The following is a 19,418-nucleotide window of genomic DNA, read 5'->3' on the forward strand; positions in this document are numbered from 1 at the left end:
AGCAGAAGCTGGGCCTTGTGTGTGGAGGTGAATGGTGGTGGGATAGGGGTTAAGCCCTGGATCAGATATTGGTCTACACGACCTCTGGGGTTCCTTTTAAACCCAAGACTCCATGATTTTATAATTTGTCCATCAAACTTATTTAGTTCTTTAACAGGTTGAGTCTGCTTTGGTTTCTTTTCTTTATTTAGAACTTGGAAGGAAGAATGTGTTTGTTCTCATATAACTAGGAAGCTTCCTTGACTTATTGATTAGGTAGATATTAAAGCCCAGAACAGGGTCCCTCTTTTAGTGCCAGACTGTACTGGCATCCCCTGACCAACTGTCTAAACTTGCTGACTGATTGGCAGGGTGATGCCAATAACTACTCTGTGAATTAGTGAGTGGTCCAACAGGCCTGTAACCAGACTTGGGCAGGTTGGTCAGCATTTCTCAGTGTGATAAGATTCCCTTAGGAGGAACTGCACTATCTGACTTATTGCTATCTTGATCAGTGGCCGAAAAAATAAAATAAAATAGTAAGCATCATTTAAGGTTATGGTTTGGTTTTAGGCTGTTGCCCTGTTGAGAATCATCAATGATGTCTGTAGCTCTGTGGTTTTCACTGAGGGATATTCAGGAAATCTTTATAATTAATGCTATAGAAAGAGATTTTAAAACTATCTTCCAACGTATTTGTTCTAATAAAGAAATGTGTATTGAATATTTCACTTGGCTCACCACTGCCAGAAACACTACAAATCTCAAAACTAACCCTTCTTTCCTGCCAAAGTTGATCCTAGTTGGAATGAGGTTGCAGGCTAAACTTGGAGAGGACTGAGAGTCAGCAATGTGCCAGCAATAATTTATTACCCCCACCCCTTCAACAATCCTCAAATATCAATTTAAACAGCTTTTGATGGAGGAAGTAGTCTCTTCCCCACTTACCCCACACTCCCAGCCACAGATTAGATTCATTAGTGCTGCTGTGGAATTCCACCCAACTTTGTGCTTCCCCTATCACTGAATTGTAATTACTTTTCTTTTCTTTCTTTTTTTTTTTTTTGAGACAGGGTCTCACTCTGTTGCCCTGGCTGGATTGCAGTAGCATGATCACATCTCACTGCAGCCTTGACCTCAGTGATCCTCCCACCTCAGCCTCCTGAGTAGCTGGGACTACAGGTGCATGCCACCACACCTGGATAATTTGCATTTTTTGTAGAGACAGGGTTTTGCCATGTTGCCCAGGCTGATCTCAAACTCCTGGGCTCAAGCAATCTGCCTTCCTCAGCCTCCCAAAATGCTAGGATTGCAGGTGTGAGCCACTGCACCTGGGCCTATAATTACTTTTAACATAATTGATATGGTTTTTCTGTGTACCCCCCCAAATCTCATCTTGCATTGTAGCTCCCATAATTCCCACATGCTGTGGGAGGGACCTTGTAGGAGATAATTGAATCATGAGTGCAGTTTCCCCCGTACCGTTCTGGTGGCAGTGAATAAGTCTCACAAAATCTGATGATTTTATCCAGGGTTTCCCCTTTCTCTTGGCTCGCATTCTACCTTGCCTGCCGCCATGTAAGACATGCCTTTTGCCTTCCACTATGATTGTGAGGTCCCCCCAGCCATGTGGAACTGTGAGTCCATTAAACCTCTTTTTCTTTATAAATTACCCAGTCTCAGGTATATCTTTATCAGCAGTGTGAAAACAGACTAATACAATAATCTATCTTCCCTTCTGGACTATAAATTCCTCAAATGTATAGTCTATCTTTAACTTTTAGCACTGTATTCCTGCCTCAGATCTGTGTGTGCCTGGCACATGGAAGATGTTTAATAAGTGACCAATAAATAGGTGGGTGGATGGATGGATAAAAAAACTACATCTCCACTGTAGTCAAAATGCCTAATAGATTTAGTCATTCTTGAAATTAGAAAAGATACCTTTTGTTTTCAAATGAGGATAGCGTATTTCCCTTTCCATAAGCCTAAATGTAAATATGAACATTAAATTAGTCAAGAGTCAGTTAAAGTATCTGAGAAATACCTTACCTGAAGCGTAGTCCCTTCGAGGAACACTTGGAGGTGCTTTGACTTTTAGCCTGGAAATAACAACCATGAGACAAAAGGTCAGTGAGCAGAACAATGATGGTCAAAGCCGATGCTAGAAGCTGATATAGACAGAATAGATAGACAACTAATAGCATAATGGCTTCTCTTGGACCAATCAATGGACAGATTTGATGTATTGTAAATGTAGTGAAGCCATTAGTCAGGGGTTTTCCACCTCTCCCCATCTCCCCAGTGCATGCACAATGTGGCTATGACTTGGCAAAGGTGAAGTCAGGTGGAGAAGGGCTCAGAGAGGTCAGAATATGATAGTAATAAGCACTGAGTTCAGAGGTTCAAGGAAGATAAATGTTGATTGGTTGGTAAGGTAAGTGTTGATAAGAAGGTAAGATAAGATGGACTATATTTTAATGACTTACAAATGTTTAACAGGAAAAAATCAGCTACAATAAGCGTTTTGGTTGTAGGTTGGGCTAAAATTATGTTTGCACCATTTTAAAAACGCAAATAAGCCAGACACACTGGCTCATTTCTGTAATCCCAGCACTTTGGGAGGCCAAGGCAGGAGGATCACTTGTGCCTAGGAGTTCAAAACCAGCCTGGGTAACATAGTGAGACTCCATCTCTACAAAAAAATAAACAAAATGAGCCAGCCATGGTGGCATGCACCTGTGGTCCCAGCTACTTGAGGGGCTAAGGTGGGAGGATCACTTGGGCCCCAGAGGTCAAAGCTGCAGTGAGCCATGATCACGCCCCTGTACTCCAGCTTGGGCGACAGAGCGAGACACTGTCTTTAAAAAGGAAAAAAAGCCGAACAAGTGAACAGTGAGTGTCTCAGGATTGGAGATTATGAGACTTAGCATATTTAGTATTCAACTTGTTTTAAGCACTCTCAAAACTTTACTAAAGTAAAGGTGCTTTAGTACCTTTATGCACATATGAAATGTGCTAGTCACAATCCTTCTTCATTCAATAAAAGAAGAAAATTGAAATTACATTTTAGAAAACTATTCCAAGTTTTGTAAGTTCTGATACCTCCCTTTCCACTACTTGAAATGAGTAAGGTTTATAGTCAATTATTTTTAATAATTATTACCCATTTTAACTAAGAATTATTTGCTTAATGAAATTTAAAATATACATAAATAAAACTTATATCCAGTAGCCTTTATTTACTAAAATATCATATCCTTCTATAGAAGCAGTATAACTGCTATTATATACAAACTTTCATGTTTTGAAAAAAAAAGCATAGAAATTTGTGTTTGATTAAAAAATGCACACAAAAACAATTTACAAACCAAAATTGTAATTTGCAAAAATAACAATATGTATATTTACATAGAAATTCTGGTTTTCTTTTTCTCATAGGCTCTCAATATCTATTATTTCATTCAATTCTCCTCACAAGCCAGCAGGGTGGGCTGGGAAGATACTATCATTAGTCCCATGATGAGGTATAGAGACAGAGATCATCCAAGGTGTTGCAAGGAAGAAAAACAAAAACAAAACTGGGTCTGGTGCCCAGGTTGGTTCAAGGAATAGTAAAATTTCCAAAAGCACAAACCACCTGTTATCCATTATTACTATCATTTCATAAAAGAAAAGGAAGGGTATTTTACTACCCCCAAATAATCTCAGAATAAAGGAAAAACTCACTAAAGGACTGTTGGCCACTCAACACTAGGAATAAAAGGCGTAGTTGAACTTTGCTCTGTAGCTGGCTGCTGTGCACAACCCCCAACACTTCATGCTCCTTATTTTCTCATGCGGCCATAGACCAGTGAAAACTCTGTCACAGTCTTGTGTTAGGGAACCAGCGTGTTCAAGCGTGCTTCCTCCGTTCAGGGTAGCACCTGTGGCCTGGCTTCAAGTAAAAGTGTAACTGCAAGTCACTTTGAGCTAAAGGGCCCCTGACGTCACCCGGGGTAATGACTATGGTGGCCATAATTTCCAGGCTGAGAAGAAACATGGTTTGTCATGTAAAAGTGCTTTGGTCATCCAATGGGCAGAATGTATGAAACAGAGGCTGTTATAAAAAACTTGAGCTCCACAGCTGCTGTAAATATGACTGGCTATGGAATAGAGAGACATTTTATGCAGAGGCTTCATGTTATTGAGAACTGGTGTATTGTAAAACTGGCAACTGGGGGCCATGGAATAGAGAAACATTTTATGCAGAGGCTTCATGTTATTGAGAACTGGTGAACTGTAAAACTGGCAATTAGAATTGCTAGTGATTGTAACAAGGACTGTCTCATAAAGAATGAGATTCTATCTGTAGCAGAAATAATAAGCAAAAATCATCACACACCTCTCCCACTCATCAGACAGAACATGAAGCCAAATTCTCCTCCTCTGTAAGATGACCACCACCTCACAAGCAGAAGGCCATTTATGTTTGATGATGATCACTTATGCATAGAGACTCATTTACATTTCATAGTCTGGAAATACCACCAAAAGTGATTTCTTATTTTTAATTTTAGCATAGATTAAAACGAATAAGGATGCTCTTTTGAATGCATAGAGAAATGAACTTCTATAAACTATTTTTTGGTCCAAAATTTGGGGAGAAAAATTTGGTAATAGCAATTAAAACTTTAAGGGCACAACTTCTTCCATTTGGAAATTTCATTTTAGGAATTTAGCCTACTGGTATATTCAAGGTCTGCAATGAACATTTATTAAAGTATTATTCATGACATTTAAATTGGAAGAAACAACCAGAGAATTTTGATTGCTATTATCAAATTGCTATCCAAAAATGTTGTACCGGTTTAAATTCAAATCCCCCCTTAAAGATGGCCACCAATATATAGCTAGTTAATTGAATTATAATATATTTAAGGTAGACTATTAAATCATCTGTTCAGAAAAGAATATGGTTAATTTTTACTTACTAACAAATAAAGATGTCCATGAAATAGCTTAAGTAAAACCAACAAAGCAAGTTGGTAGAATGGCGCATGCACTATGATACCATTTATGACGAAAATGTATGTGTATAGTATGTACAATGTCAGTGTATGTATGTATGTGTTTAAGCACACACATACATACATATATACATACTTATACACACATACATACATATATATACACACATTGAACTTACCATGACAATGTCCCTTTCTGGGGAGTGGGTTAAGATGGAGATATAAGGAAATGGGAGATTTTGACATCATACAATTCTGGCCTCTTTGATTTTTTTTCCCTGGTGAATCTGTATTAGTTTTATTTAAAAAATTTAAAGACTTAACAGAATACCATTTCCCATTTTCTCTTGAAAGAGACTTACCTACTAAGGTATATAAGACCTACTAAGGTACGTCTACCTTAGATTTTGAGTGGCAAATGCAGATATGTACAATTTTTATTCTCTTTAAAAAAAAAAGCTTAAGAGTTTTTGATGTACAAGGAGTTTTGAGATGCTAGGCTTTCCCTCTCCAAGTGCCAATTGAAAAGTTCATTTTCAGGTAATAATTCGAAAAGCAGAAATCAAAATATGGAAAACTGGCTGAGCGCAGTGGCTCTTGTCTGTAATCCCAGCACTTTGGGAGGCTGAGGCGGGCGGATCACCTGAGGTCAGGAGTTCAAGACCAGCCTGACCAACATGAAGAAACCCTGTCTCTACTAAAAATACAAAATTAGCCAGGTATGCTGGCACGTGCCTGTAATCCCAGCTATTCGCTGGGCCGAGGCAGGAGAATCGCTTGAACCCAGGAGGCAGAGGTTGCGGTGAGCTGATATTGTGCCATTGCACTCCAGCCTGGGCAACAAGAGCGAAACTCCATCTCAAAAAAACAAAAAAACAAAATCAAAAACAAAACCCCAAAAAAAGGAAAACTCACATGGCATCTTGAAGAAGCTAGGGCTGTGTTTTGTAACTTTTCATTTGGATTTCTCCATACATGTTTTCATAGCCCTTAGCTAAATGGTTATAGAAATGATTTTCCTGCTTTGACATTTGTTAGGCACCTTGAATGGGCATAGCTCACCTTCCCTGCAGTGAGAAGGAAAATCAAAGTCCACTGAGTACAACTGCACTCACTTGTCCTGTTCCAGAATGTAGACCTGGCCACCATGGATTCCAGCCAATAGTAAAGAAGGGTTACGTGCTAAAGAGGTAGAAACTTCTCATCCAGGTAACAGAGAAATTTGTTTTCTTCCATGTAGCACATGTTGACTTATTTTATATAATTAAGTATTTAAATAGAGGCGAACTTACTTTTTGATTTTATTCATTATTCCACCTTCATTGTTTTTAATATCATGGACCATCTTTTGAAGCTGCCTGTAAAAAACAAAATTAAACATAAGATATTAATAACCAGTCTGACTTTTTAAAAAAAGTCTCCTACTCTTCTCGAATACAAAAAAGGGGAAAAAACTCTACCAAAACAACCTCCAAATAGGATGAATTATATTGTATTTAATTAAATTGACCATCTGCTACTTTAGCGAAGGAGAAGCATGACTGATTCTATAAGGAATATGGTCACTGGGCTGTGTCCCCTTCCGTTGGGATGTCTGGACCAGTCTCAGGCTGTGAAGAAAGATATTCTGATTCCTTGCTCATTGTCTTAGAGCATCTACGTTACGAAGATAGATGCTACTCTGTGGACATAGCAGAGGCTTCAATCAGGCCCAAGGTTCTTTTTTATTAAATGGTAGTAGGTAGCATCTATTAAAACTTCCATTTAAAAGTTACTCCTACCTAGGAGTCATAAAGAAAATGACTATTAAATCTGGCTGATATTTGAAACTTCTGTAGAACAAAAAGTAATATTGAGGCAGGAGAATAGGGTCTGGAGTCAGGGAACCTAAGGCCAATTTGCACTGACTTCCTAGAACTGAATCAAATGGAAAACCCCACCTCTCCATGCACAAGTAACAAAAGGATCAGAGGCTACTACCTTTGCACTGCGTTATAGATGAGAAATGGAAAGTGCCTCTGATTGATCCCCTCCTGTAACCAATCAGACTGGTCCCAGGCCAAGTCTTCCTGTGTAACTTTGTACCTTAACTTCAGCGTCTGATTGATCACCTTCTGCAACCAATCAGACTGGTCGTGGGCCACTCCTTCATTTACATAGGATGTAACCAAGTAACCAATGGGAAACCCCTAGAAGGAAAATTCTGTAACCAGTGCTCTTGAGCCACTTGGTCAAGCCCATTCCTACTCTGTGGAGTGTACTTTCATTTCAGTAAATCTATGCTTTCATTGTTTCATTCTTCTGTTACTTTGTGCATTTTGTCCAATTCTGTGTTCAAAAGGCCAAGAACCTGGAAGACTCATAGTCAAGACCCTCCACTGGTAACAATATGTATCAAGACCCTCCACTGGTAAGAATATGTACAAAATCAAAAGATAAATGACATGCTGAAAGAAATATTTGCAACATATAGTAATAATAATAAGAACTACATATTAGTTTGCTGCAAAAGTAATCACGGTTTTTGCCACTGGAAGTAATGGCAAAAACTACGATTATTTTTGCACCAGCCTTTCTCGATTTACAAAGAAATCTTACAACTCAGTAAGAAAAAGAGAAATAGTTCAATAGAAAAATGAGCAAAAGATATGAACACACAGCTAACAGAAAACAAATACAAGTGGTCAATAGACCAATGAAAAGATATTGAACATCACTTATATTTAAACAAATCTAAATCTAAACAACAGTGAGATGTCTTTTCGCCTATCAGACTGGCAAAACATAACAAGTGTGATAATATCCAGTGTTGAGAAAGTAAATTGTTACAATCAAATCTGTCAAGATTTAAAACGTCCATGACTTTTGACCCAGCAATTGGACTGCTAAGAATTTGTCTTATGAAAATGGTCACAAAATGATATCAGTATATACATATAAGCATGTTTATTGCAGCGTGATGTGTAAGAACTCTCTAATCTTCTCCCTGCTTCTTCTGCCCTCCCCACAACCATAACTCTGAAAACAACCCAATGCTCATTAATCATTAAAAGGGAACTAGTTAAATAAATTATGATAGATCCATGCAATGGAATGCCACAGACCCCTAAAAAAAAGAGGAATATACATCTATATTGTTGCCTGAAACTTCTACTTTCTAAAAAGGGGATTATTACTTTATGATGTTTTAAAATATTTGAATTTTTATAGCATGTGTAGATATCATTTGTATTATCTGTGTTATACACAAATATGGAGAAAAATATTATAATGGGAGGATAGGGCCATGTTATGTTTTCCTCATAATAATTTTCTGACTTAAAAAATGTATAATAAAATTTCACGTGGTTCTTCCCTGAAAGAGTAGGACGTTTTAATTCACCTTTCAGGTAAATGCTTCCTTTGTTCTGAGAAAACTATTTGACTGGACCCTTTAGATAATGAACTGTACACAGCTATTGTTCTTGTAGGAAATGGTGATTTCCCCACAATCCTGAAAGCAGATTTCTCTGACTCTGGGAGCTAGGCCTTGGGTTAGGTAATAGAAATAGTTTAGCATAGGTCTAGGAAACTGTTGGTTGAGGACATCTGGGAGAAATACTCCTTGGCCCTTTGTGAATTTAGAATGCCCGTGCGGTGGAAGGGTTACTTTTTGGTGCAGCAGTGGAGCAGTTTAGAGGGTAAGAGGACAGCTTCTCAGAAGAACTCTGCCTGGGCAGGCCTGTGGGTGTCCTCTACCAAGTGTTAATTTAAAGCTAAACAATGCAGCCATGCTGGTGCTCTGCTGGGTCTGCTCTATTGAGGGCAGGCCCTCTAGCCCTTAGGGAGTGGAGTGAAATTTACAGGATAGGGAATTGGGAAAAGGGAGATTGCTCAAACGTAAAATGGGAACTTAGGCTGCAGATTTTGGGGAGATCTCTCTCCTTCTAGGGCTAATGGCTGTTAGGCGCTAGAGTGCTGAAGAGCGCAGACAAACCTGAGGGATTTTCAGTGGTGGGGGTTTGGGCGATGGCAGGGGGTGGTAGCCCTGAATCTGAGGCTGGGTCTGGGCCTCTGCTCTGAGAAAAGCCATAGCCAGAGCCATCGCTAGCTATTTTCAACCACATAATCCCTCTCTGCTGTCCCTGAATCTTCAGTAAGATCTTGTAGTAGCTGCAGCCCGGCCTCAGCTGGGCCTTGGGGAAGAGAGTGTTCCACTGGCATGGAAGGGTGGAGGGAGGACAGGCTGGAGTGTGAAGTAGAAGGATAGGAGAAACTTCTTTTGGGACAGCCGTATGGCTGCATTTTGGAGAATTATCTACGTAAGTGAGGTACCCACTGAGGGACCCACGTTCAAATGTATGTGTCAGGGGTCTGGTGCCAAGTCATTGTAATTTGGGTAACAAAGGAAATGAGACCATATTTTATACTCCCTAGCTAGGGAGGCCGGGCACACTGATGATACAAGTGTAAGAGCTCAGGAAAGAGCCAGGCACATATTATGGGCTCAGTAGCAAAGAGAAAAGGATGGTTGAGAGACACACAGAGGGTCCCTCAGATGGGCCCTTGAGTTGCCTCAGAACTCTACAGTTTTCTAGAATTTGTTCACATATACTCTATGCCAAACCCTTTTCTCCTTTTCCTGAGGAACTATAGAGAATCTTCGAGATAGAGGAAAGAAGAAAATGAAAATAAGGGGTCTGGCAGTGGGGAGAGAGATTGAGAGACAGACAGAGAGAGAGGGGGAGAGAGAGAGAGAGAGAGAGGAAGAGAGAAAGAGAGAGAGAGAGAGAGGTTGAAGTGGATTGATTGCAAGGAAATTCAATAATTTCATATGGAGGGCAGAGGGCAGCTCGTTGTAAGCTGACTGTAACTGAATGGAGTATCTTTAGGCTAAGTTAATGCTTAACCAGGTTGAGGAGCAAAATGAGGCAGCAGTGAAGAATCCTATCAGAAATGTGTCAAAAATGGGACACAGGCAGAGTAATAGGGAACCAGGGGCCAATTTGCATAAGTGATTTTGCTGTGGATGTAAATAAACAGATGCAAAATGTTGCAAAAGAATTGGATGCAATTTTGTCATTTGCTCAATTTGGCATTTGGTGCTTCTTGGCATTTCCTAATTACTTTTTATTGTGTATTATTATAACAATAACAATTATACTATGTAACTATATAATTACAGTAAGTTACTGAAGTGTTGCATAAACTATACTTTTTAAAGTTGATGCATAATAGCAGTAGATATTTATGGATGCATGTGATATTTTGATACATGCAAACAATGTGTAATGATCAAATAAGGGTAATTGGGAAACCCATCACCTCACCTCAAACATTTATCATTTCTTTGTGCTGAACACATTCCAAATCTTTTCGTCTAGCTATTTTGAAATATACAATAAATTATAGTTAACTATAGTCACCCTAGATAAATTACACTTTTTATATTTTAAAGTTTTCTTCTCTCTCTGTATCTCGTTCACACAAATTCTGATGTCTATAGACTGCTTTGTTACAACTGCCAAACTTCTGTGATCTGGGAAGACATAGTGACCCAAAACCAAGATTTGCTGTGATGCTGTTAGCTCATTATGTCAACTGTCCACGCATCTGGTGATGCACAGCTCTGCTGCTCTCTAGTATTGGCCATTTCATTTTGAAGTGCTTTTTGCTCCTTATTACAACTTATAGCACATGCCATAGCAAAAGAATGCACAACTGGTCTGTTCCAGGAGGGGTTGTTCTGGATTCAAACAGCAATCCTTTTACTGAGATGAGTTGTGTGTAGGTAAAGATAGGTAAGGCATAAAACAGCTTCACTTTGATTATCTCATTCAGAGATATCCTTCCATGGTGGGGAGATGGATAATAAGGTCACAATGTCCTAATCTTCTAAAGTCATAGAGAGAGAGCCATGCTCATGTAACAAAATAAAATGAAGAACAAAGCTTATCTAATACATGTTTTAAAATATATAAGTATTGTAATTTTAAGCAGTATGGCATTTTGGTATTTAAAAATGGTGAGCAGGTCATATAAATAATTATAATACTTGTGTAAACCAAATCAAATTTTATATTCTCTCTTTTGTTTTTAATTTTCAAGCTTTTGAATTAAGACACGTAACTTAGTCACACTGTAGTAGTGTGACCCTGGGTAAGTCTGAATCTCGAGAGATTTAAATTCCAGGAAGCACTGAGAGTAGAAAAGTCACCATTTGAAAGTTACAGCAGTTTCTTCCCTTTAAAGTGCCTTACTTTAGAATCCGATAGATCTCAAGAGGGCTATTGGACCACAACTGGCTGGGCCTCACCCCTGGAGATTCTCATTGGGTTGTCTGTGGTGCGTCAGAAAATCTGCATTTATGTTTTTATTTTTATTATTATTATTATTTTGAGACGGAGTCTCACTCTTGTTGCCCAGGCTGGGGTGCAATGGCGTGATCTCGGCTCACTGCAACCTCTGCCTCCCAGATTCAAGCGATTCTCCTGCCTCAGCCTCCCGAGTAGCTGAGAATACAGGCACCTGCCACCATGCCGGGCTAATTTTTTGTATTTTTAGTAGAGACAGGGTTTCATTATGTTGGCCAGGCTGGTCTTGAACTCCTGACCTCGTGATCTGCCTGCCCCGGGCTCCCAAAGTGCTGGGATTACAGGCATGAGCCACCATGCCCAGCTCCTGCATTTCTAACAAATTCCCAGGTGGTGCTGATGCTACCAGTTGGGAGACCATCCTTTGTGCATGTCTATGATAGATCATGCCTTTTTCTATTGTGGGCCTTTTAGTTGTGCCCAAGTAAAGCAAATACCTGTTTGGGGGAAAAACTAAGTTCTCATTAACTCAAGTGCAAAGTTTCAGACAAATAAATTGGGTGGTCAATTGGAAGCATAATTTGGGTGTGCGCTTTTCAGTCTGTAGCTTCTTTGCAGGACTGTTGACTTTTCTCTGTATGAATTCAGACTAACCTCTGCTTATATATTTTAATTTATTTTATAGTCATGTACTTTCTTCTTGAGCCACAGTTTGCAAAACTGTAGAATGGAGATGAAGTGACTGCAGGCAGAACATGCCCCTCTCCTTGCGTGACAATGGAAAAGGGACTGGCCCTTCTTGGAGCAGAGTGCCATGGTCGGGACCATTTTGCCATTGCTATTATAATATGGTGCTCTAAGTGACTAACAGAATGCAGTGGCGGTGGCACTAAGACTCGACCTCATCCCTGTTGGTGGGGGATAGGCTGTCTTTGCTGTCACTCATCCTGCAAAGACTCCAACCTAGAAAAAGGATGTAAGAAAATGAGGATGTGGCAGGCAGGCCTCAGGCTTGGTACTGTGATGTTTCCTGTCTTCCCGGGGCCTCCTGGTTGTTGGTCCCTGTGCTGCAGGTTGAATAGAGGAATCTTCTAGAAGGATTCCCATTGAATAGCCTTCCAATTTTTACTACCCATGCATAAGATGTACAGATTTTACACAACTAAGATCACTCTTGACATTTTGAAATCTGTGTGTTCCACTTACTATATTGTGAATATTTTCATAAGTGAGCACCATCCTTAGGCTTTATCTGCATCTTTCTTTCCTCTGCTATCTGAGGGGCTTTTAAATAGCTGAAACTCTGATCCAAGTAGGCGTGACAAGAAGCAGTGAATCAGGACCCCTCAGCTTGAGGGAGCAGAGAGATGACCAGACCACATGGCAATCTGAGACCAGGAGAAGCAAAGGCTGTGTGAGAATAAGTGCCGAATGCCTTGCTTCTGGGAGCCTGGGATCAAGAGGCTTGGACCTCAGGGGCAGAGAGGGAGGGGACAATCTCAGGTTCCCTCTTGTTTCTTCAAACCCAGCCTCTCTTCCAGATCACCCTCTGAAACAGTGTTTTCTAGAGTAAGGTCTAAAGATTGCCTGTATTTATTTATTAGAAATTCAGATCACTGGACCCTAAACCATATCAATAGAATAAAAATTCCAGATAGAGCCCAGCAATCTGCTTTTTAACAAATTTTCTAGGCCTGGTGACTCTTATGCACACAGAAGGTTGACAGCCATTTTTAAAGGATTAGGCCAGGCTGGGTGCGATGGCTCACGCCTGTAATCCCAGCACTTTGGGAGGCCAAGGCGGGCCGATCATGAGGTCAGGAGATCGAGACCATCTTGGCTAACACGGTGAAACCCCATCTCTACTAAAAATACAAAAAAAAAAAATTAGCCGGGCATGGTGGCGGGCGCCTGTAGTCCCAGCTACTCGGGAGGCTGAGACAGGAGAATGGCATGGACCCAGGAGGTGGAGCTTGCAGTGAGCCGAGATCGTGCCACTGCACTCCAGCCTGGGCGACAGAGCAAGACTCTGTCTCAAAAAAAATAAAAAAAATTAAAAAAATAAAAAAAAGGAAAAAAAAAAGGATTAGGCCAGGTTTATCCCCTTCTAGGCTAAGTTTAAATGGAAAGAGCAAAAGAGACGACTTCCCAACCTCCAGAGTATCTTCCCCCATCCACCATAGCCTGGAATAGCTTTAACAGCAAATCTTACTATTTTCTCCATAATGAGTGGCCAAAGGCTTACCCAGGCATTCTCCCCAGGAAAGGAAAGACACTGGCAATGGAATTTTAGTCAATGGTATGATGTCTGCTTTCAACAAGGGGAAGACAGCAGAAGGAATCGGCTGTGGTTGCCAATGGCCAGGCATTCACCTTTACCTGGACTCAGATTAATACAAGTCGGGCACAGTGATGCTTCCAGCCTGCCTGCCTTCTCTTCCCAGGCAGCCTGGTGTCAGAGCAGGGACTCTAACCCGAGGAGCTGACTGTGTACAGCTCAGCCTTCTTCAATGAGTTTTTTTTTTGTTTTGTTTTGTTTTTTTGAGATGAAGTCTCGCTCTTGTCCCCCAGGCTGGAGTGCAATAGCACGATCTCAGCTCACTGCAACCTCCGCCTCCCAGGTTCAAGTGATTCTCCTACCTCAGCCTCCCGAGTAGCTGGGATTACAGGCGCCTGCCACCACGCCTGGCTAACTTTTGTATTTTTAGTAGAGACGGGGTTTCACCATGTTGGCCAGGCTGGTCTCGAACTTCTGACCTCAGGTAATCCGCCCACCTCGGCCTCCCAAATTGCTGGGATTACAGGCATGAGCCACCACACCTGGCCCTTCAATGAGTCTTTTATGAATTGAAGTTTAGACCTTACATCAATTGGCAGTCTTTCTACATCTCCTTCTTGGATGAAAAGGTAGGTTAAAGAAATCGTCTTGACTTTGGCTGCACATTAGAATCACTTAGGGGACTTTTAATAATCTTGACACCCAGGCCTTGCCCCCGACCATTTAAACCAGAGTCATTGACTCTCAGGGGATCCAATGTGCAGCCAAGGTTAAGAACCACTGACAGTGTTCTCAGGATAGGAGAACTTTGTACATACCCCAGGGAAGTTCGTCTGGCCAAGAGAGCACAAGGAGAGGAATCCATAGTGAGAATCCACAGAAGGGTATCTGCAGACTGAGAACAGCCCCAGGCACATAGAAGGATAAACAAGTTCAGGAAGGATGGAGTTTAAGGACAGCGAGCTCTTCCAGGGCCAAGAGGGCACGGGGAGGGCAGCTGCATGCAGATATTTCGGCCAGATCACCAGAGGTGTCCAAGAAATTACATATTTGACAAAAACACTTTTCCAATAATTTTTATTAAATACAGGAGATGATTTAACAGATGATATTATCTGTAAGAAGTACTTTTTTAAAAAGTTTAGTAGAAATAAGATCATAAAACATCTTGTTTTCCTTGTAGCTCTTTAGTGCTGTCACAGAGGACAATGATAGGCAGGTTTCAGGATTTTTTTTTTTTCATTTGTCTTTCAGAAAGGGTGGAATGCAAAGTATTGCTAATCAGAGAAAATCCCTGTTTAATCTGCATGTAGGAATGGATTAAAGAGTGTCTCAGGTGAAAGTGACTCTTTGTAAACAAACAGAATAAATAAATCCTTCCTTCTTCATCCCCCGCATCTTAACCTCAGGTCCAGTTCTTGAGTTTCATCCTTTCAGTGTTCATAGGCTGGTCCTCCTCTCTGAGCCAAGATCTAAGCCTACACTTTCCCCTTTACAACAGGAAAATGCAGCAGCTGGCAGCAGGGCCCTCCCATCCATGCTGTGAGGGCTTGTTAGGGCCTCTTTCAGCAAATGTTTCTAAAACCTGGATTTCAACGATCACTCCTTCCTCAAGAGTGCAGCAGCTCCCCGGTATCTACTGAATCAAGCCTGAGCTTTTTGTCATGGCTCAGTCACTCAGTCTCACCCTGAGCTCCATGCCCATATAGAAATTTTATTTTTGTTACTAAATTTTAAAACAGCTCGATGATAGAAAATTGAACACTGCCAATAAGAAAAAGGAAAAGGGCCAGGCGTGGTGGTTCATGCCTGTAATCCCAGCACTTTGGGAGGCTGAGGAGGGTGGATCACTTGAGGTCAGGAGTTCAAGTACTGCAAGAACCCCTGGGGGCTGCTGGCTCAGCCCTTTGCTTTATCCACGTATACTTGGGTATCCTTAGAACATCTGTGCTGGTGCAATTGACCTGGTATCTCCAATTTATATGTTTCTAAAATCAATTTGGAGTAGAAATCTCTGTAATGTTTTCCTTGGCATATATAGAAACAAAAATGCATCCATGAATACTTTTTACTATGAATGGATTTTTAAAAACACTTTTTTAAACTTAAAATTTAAATACATTTAAATGCATTTAATTTAAAAATAAAAAAATTAATGTTCATCATTAGGTCTGCTGATTCTCTAGTTGACTTCCTCCTTTTTTAGGTGTTTAATGTAATTGACTCTGGGTTTCTTTTTAAGATGCTACTAATATAGTATATTTTATTTTTGTTACTAAATTTTAAAACAGCTATATGATAGAAAATTGAAAACTGACAATAAGAAAAAGAAAAAGGGCCGGGTATGGTGGCTCATGCCTGTAATCCCAGCACTTTGGGAAGCCAAGGAGGGTGGATCACTTGAGGTCAGGAGTTCAAGACCAGCCTGGCCAACATGGTGAAACCTTTGCTCTACTAAAAATAGAAAAATCGGCTGGCAGTGGTGGCGTGTGCCTGTAATCCCAGCTACTTGGGAGGCTGAGGCCTGAGAATCACTTGAACCCGGGAGGCAGAGGTTGCAGTGAGACAAGATTGCACCACTGCACTCCAGCCTGGGCGACAGAGTGAGACTCCATCTCAAAAAAAAAAAAAAAAAAAGCAGCAGAAGAAGAAGCAAATGGAATTTATAAGCTGGCATCCTTGGATCTTCAGGCTTGAAACTTCTGAATGTTCTTTAACCCTTTCTCTCTCTCTTTGACTCTTCATCTCACATCTCTAGTCACATCAAAAGGGTGAGGAACAGCAGCCAGGTATCAGGAACAGCAGCCAGGTATCAGGAACAGCAAGTGCAAAGGCTCAGAGGTGAAACTGTCTGAGATGTTTCGGGTCCAGTGAGCAGCTGAGAGTGTCAGGAAAGTAGGTGTTGAGAGGATGTTTACAAGACAAGGATGAGACCGCTGGGAGCAGAGACAGATAGTCAAGGGACCTGTTAGGCCAAGGAGATGGGGGGTTACAGGCTTCCTGCTGGAAGCCCTTGGAGACCTTTCCTCGGGGTGTGTCATGATGAGGGTGGAAGAATGGAGGAGGATCTCGGCCTGGGACAGTGGTGGCTGGGACACCAGTATGGAGGCAACTGTGCCAGGCCCAAGCCTCGAGCTCGTGACAGCGTGGTACCAAAGGCAATGGAATAACACTAGGAGTGCCCTGTGGGCCTCAGCTGTGCGAAAGGACCAACAACTCTCAAAGAGGACATTACTGAGACAAAGTGCCATGTTGGCCATACTGGGGCCTGAGACAAAGTAAATCAGCAGGACTGATTCTGTCTTCATCTAAAATTCCAGTAGTTTCTTCATCATGGATTTCTGGGCATTCATTTTGATTTTTAAAATATTATATTAAATACTATTTGTATCAATTTATTAATGAGGGTTACCCCTTAAAATTTAATGTCATGCTTTGCTGTTTTATACATGACTCGTTTTGTTTTATTCCACAAATATTCAGTGTGTGCACACTGGGCATGGCACATGCAGGCCACAGAGCTAACCTGAACACAAACCCGACCCTCTTGTAATGCAGGAAAGGGGCTCCTTTCACCACCTTATCACATGACAGAAACCTTCTGGCCTATGTGAAGCCAGGGGACAGATATAGGCAGACCGGAGAATTCTCTGATTCACACAAAACATCCTCCTCTCAGGTCACTCCTGTCTTAAAGCTGAAGTTTTCAGCCACCAACCCATCGTTTTGAAGCAGCATGATACTTTTTAGTGACTATCCTGTTACTTGCATGCTGCAGGACTCCTATGACAACTTCTCCCCCTCCACTCTTTCTAAAGCCTTGTCATTTCTGGCACCGGCTTCCTAATGCTCACTTCCTCCAGCCTGGCCTTGCTATGAAATAACAGGAATTATATTTAGATTTGCGAATTCAGCACTGCAGGCTGCTTCCTTCTGGGGAGTGAGCTCATGGTGGAGCTGGCAGAGTTTTGACAGCTTTGGCAGTCCCTTCCATGGTGTGATAATGTGAACAAGCCCCTCAAGGTCGAGTTAGTGGCCTTCTCCTCCATTTCACAGATGCAGATACTGAAGCCCAAAGAGATCAGAGATCATGAGTGTCTCAGACTATACAGCTGACTCCGAATTTTGCCTACAATTAAGGTAGTCACAGAAATTTGGAAGTGAGAGAGACTTTGGGAATATCCTGGGTCAACCTCCTCTTATGCCAAGGGAGGAAATTAAATTCCAGGGAAATTTTGTGATTGCCCTGAGATTAATTTAGTTGAGGACTCCTCCAACTCTTTTAGTCATACCTGTTCCTTCCCCTTCCACATAAGGCTTGAGCCCCCTGCTAGAGAAGGTGGGGGGTACCTCCATGGCCAGAGGTAACCCCCACCTTCTTATGCCATAGTTCAGAGCTGTGATTATAGTACAAGCCCAGTAAGCCATTGCTGAGAGAAGCATCATGCATGCCAGTGATCAGACTTGGAAAATCAATAACGGTAAAAGCCAGCATTTATTGAGCATGTACTACGTGCTAGGTACTTTGTGTGCATTATCTCATTAACCCTCACAACTACCCTGTGAGGGAGGTCCTATTATCCCCATGTTTATATTATGATAAAAAACACATAACAAAAAATTTACCATCTTAACCATTTTTAAGTATCCAGTTCAATAGCATTAATATATTCACATAGTTGTAGTTATCCCTGTTTTTATAGATGAGAAAATTTGACTCAGAGAGGTTAAATAATTTGCCCAGATCCTACAGCAAATAAGTGATAGAGCTGGAATTCAAAATCAGGTCTGATTCCGGAGCCTATGCTCTCAACCCACTCTGGATGATACAGGCTAACTTGTTTCAACTTGGCCCCTCACCAGGGCAGGCGACTGGCTTCAGCACCTACGTTGCCTCTTTGGATACCTTCCTCTCTGTCCCTGGAGACAGCACCCATTCCCTCTACCAACCCAGTAATCTTTACTGTGACACATGTGCCCCCACCCCTGCCTTGCTATTGGTCCCCAAGGTTAGACATTTTGCTAGAGGGGAGCGTCAGCTCTTAAGGGCCTGTTTCAGACTTTGGGAGGAAGAGGGAGAGTAAAAAGAGGAAAGGACAGATGGCAGGGGAAATGGGAAGGAGAGGGGGTAAGGCACATGGGAGGCAGGAGGGAATGCGGTAGCGGCCCTCTGGGGTCTGGAATATGCTCAGAAGTAGGGTGGCTGAACAGAGCAGCTGGAAGGACGCCACCATAATCCATGCATCCTTTCTCAACACCCGAGGCAGAAAGGCCCCCTGAGGGTCCTGGAGTGGAGGGGCTGTGTTCCCTTACACACAAGCATCTTGCTGCCAGGGCTGTTTCTTACTATCCACTTATTAACCGTATAAAGTAATTTATAAGTTTCTCCAAACAGTTCACACCCTACCTTTTTTTTTTTTTTTTTTTTTTTGCTTGTTTCTTTTTTTTCCTACTGAGATCTGCAAATATTTTGTGGTAGTCTTTGGCATGTCTGAACGGCTGAGCTTGGTTATAAGCAGTCAGAAATTGGGCTGACTTGGCACAAGCAGGAGTAGGGATGATTCTACTAATACCCTGTGTCCTTCAAAAACCCTGGTAGGACTTACCCTATCAGAGGCAGTTATGCATCAGGCACACCACCCTGAGACTGATGAGATGGCAAGGAAATGATGCTATACCTGCCTTAAGAAGTTCTTAGAAGTTTTGTCACTTGATTTGACAGCTGAAATTGGCATGGCCCTTCCCCTCTCTGACTTTAGGGGCCAGTGGTCCTTGGGGCCTCCAGGAATACAACACTTCTCTTTCCTTTAGCACATTGGAATGCTTGCTGGACTCTGCTCTCACCACCCACCTGGCAGA

General features: G+C 41.5%; 1 protein-coding gene across 9 annotated transcripts in view; it reads right to left on the reverse strand.

Annotated features, from left to right (window-relative positions):
- Positions 1 to 19,418, reverse strand: part of BLNK (B cell linker) — an 82,399-nt gene that overhangs the window by 51,533 nt on the left and 11,448 nt on the right. For 8 of the 9 annotated variants that reach the window (NR_047680.2, NR_047682.2, NR_047683.2 and 5 more), the window contains exons 2-3: positions 6,281 to 6,346; positions 2,032 to 2,081 (exon numbers count right to left, since the gene is read on the reverse strand). Coding sequence is in view for 5 of the 9 variants with exons in the window: in NM_001258442.2 (NP_001245371.1) it covers positions 2,032 to 2,081; positions 6,281 to 6,346 (116 nt within the window). In the remaining 4 variants the exon portion in view is untranslated. Of the gene's footprint in view, positions 1 to 2,026; positions 2,082 to 6,280; positions 6,347 to 19,418 lie in introns of all 9 variants that reach the window. The other variant, NR_047681.2, reaches the window with a different exon arrangement.

Source organism: Homo sapiens, chromosome 10, assembly GCF_000001405.40.
Source record: "Homo sapiens chromosome 10, GRCh38.p14 Primary Assembly".
NCBI classification, from domain to species: domain Eukaryota; kingdom Metazoa; phylum Chordata; class Mammalia; order Primates; family Hominidae; genus Homo; species Homo sapiens.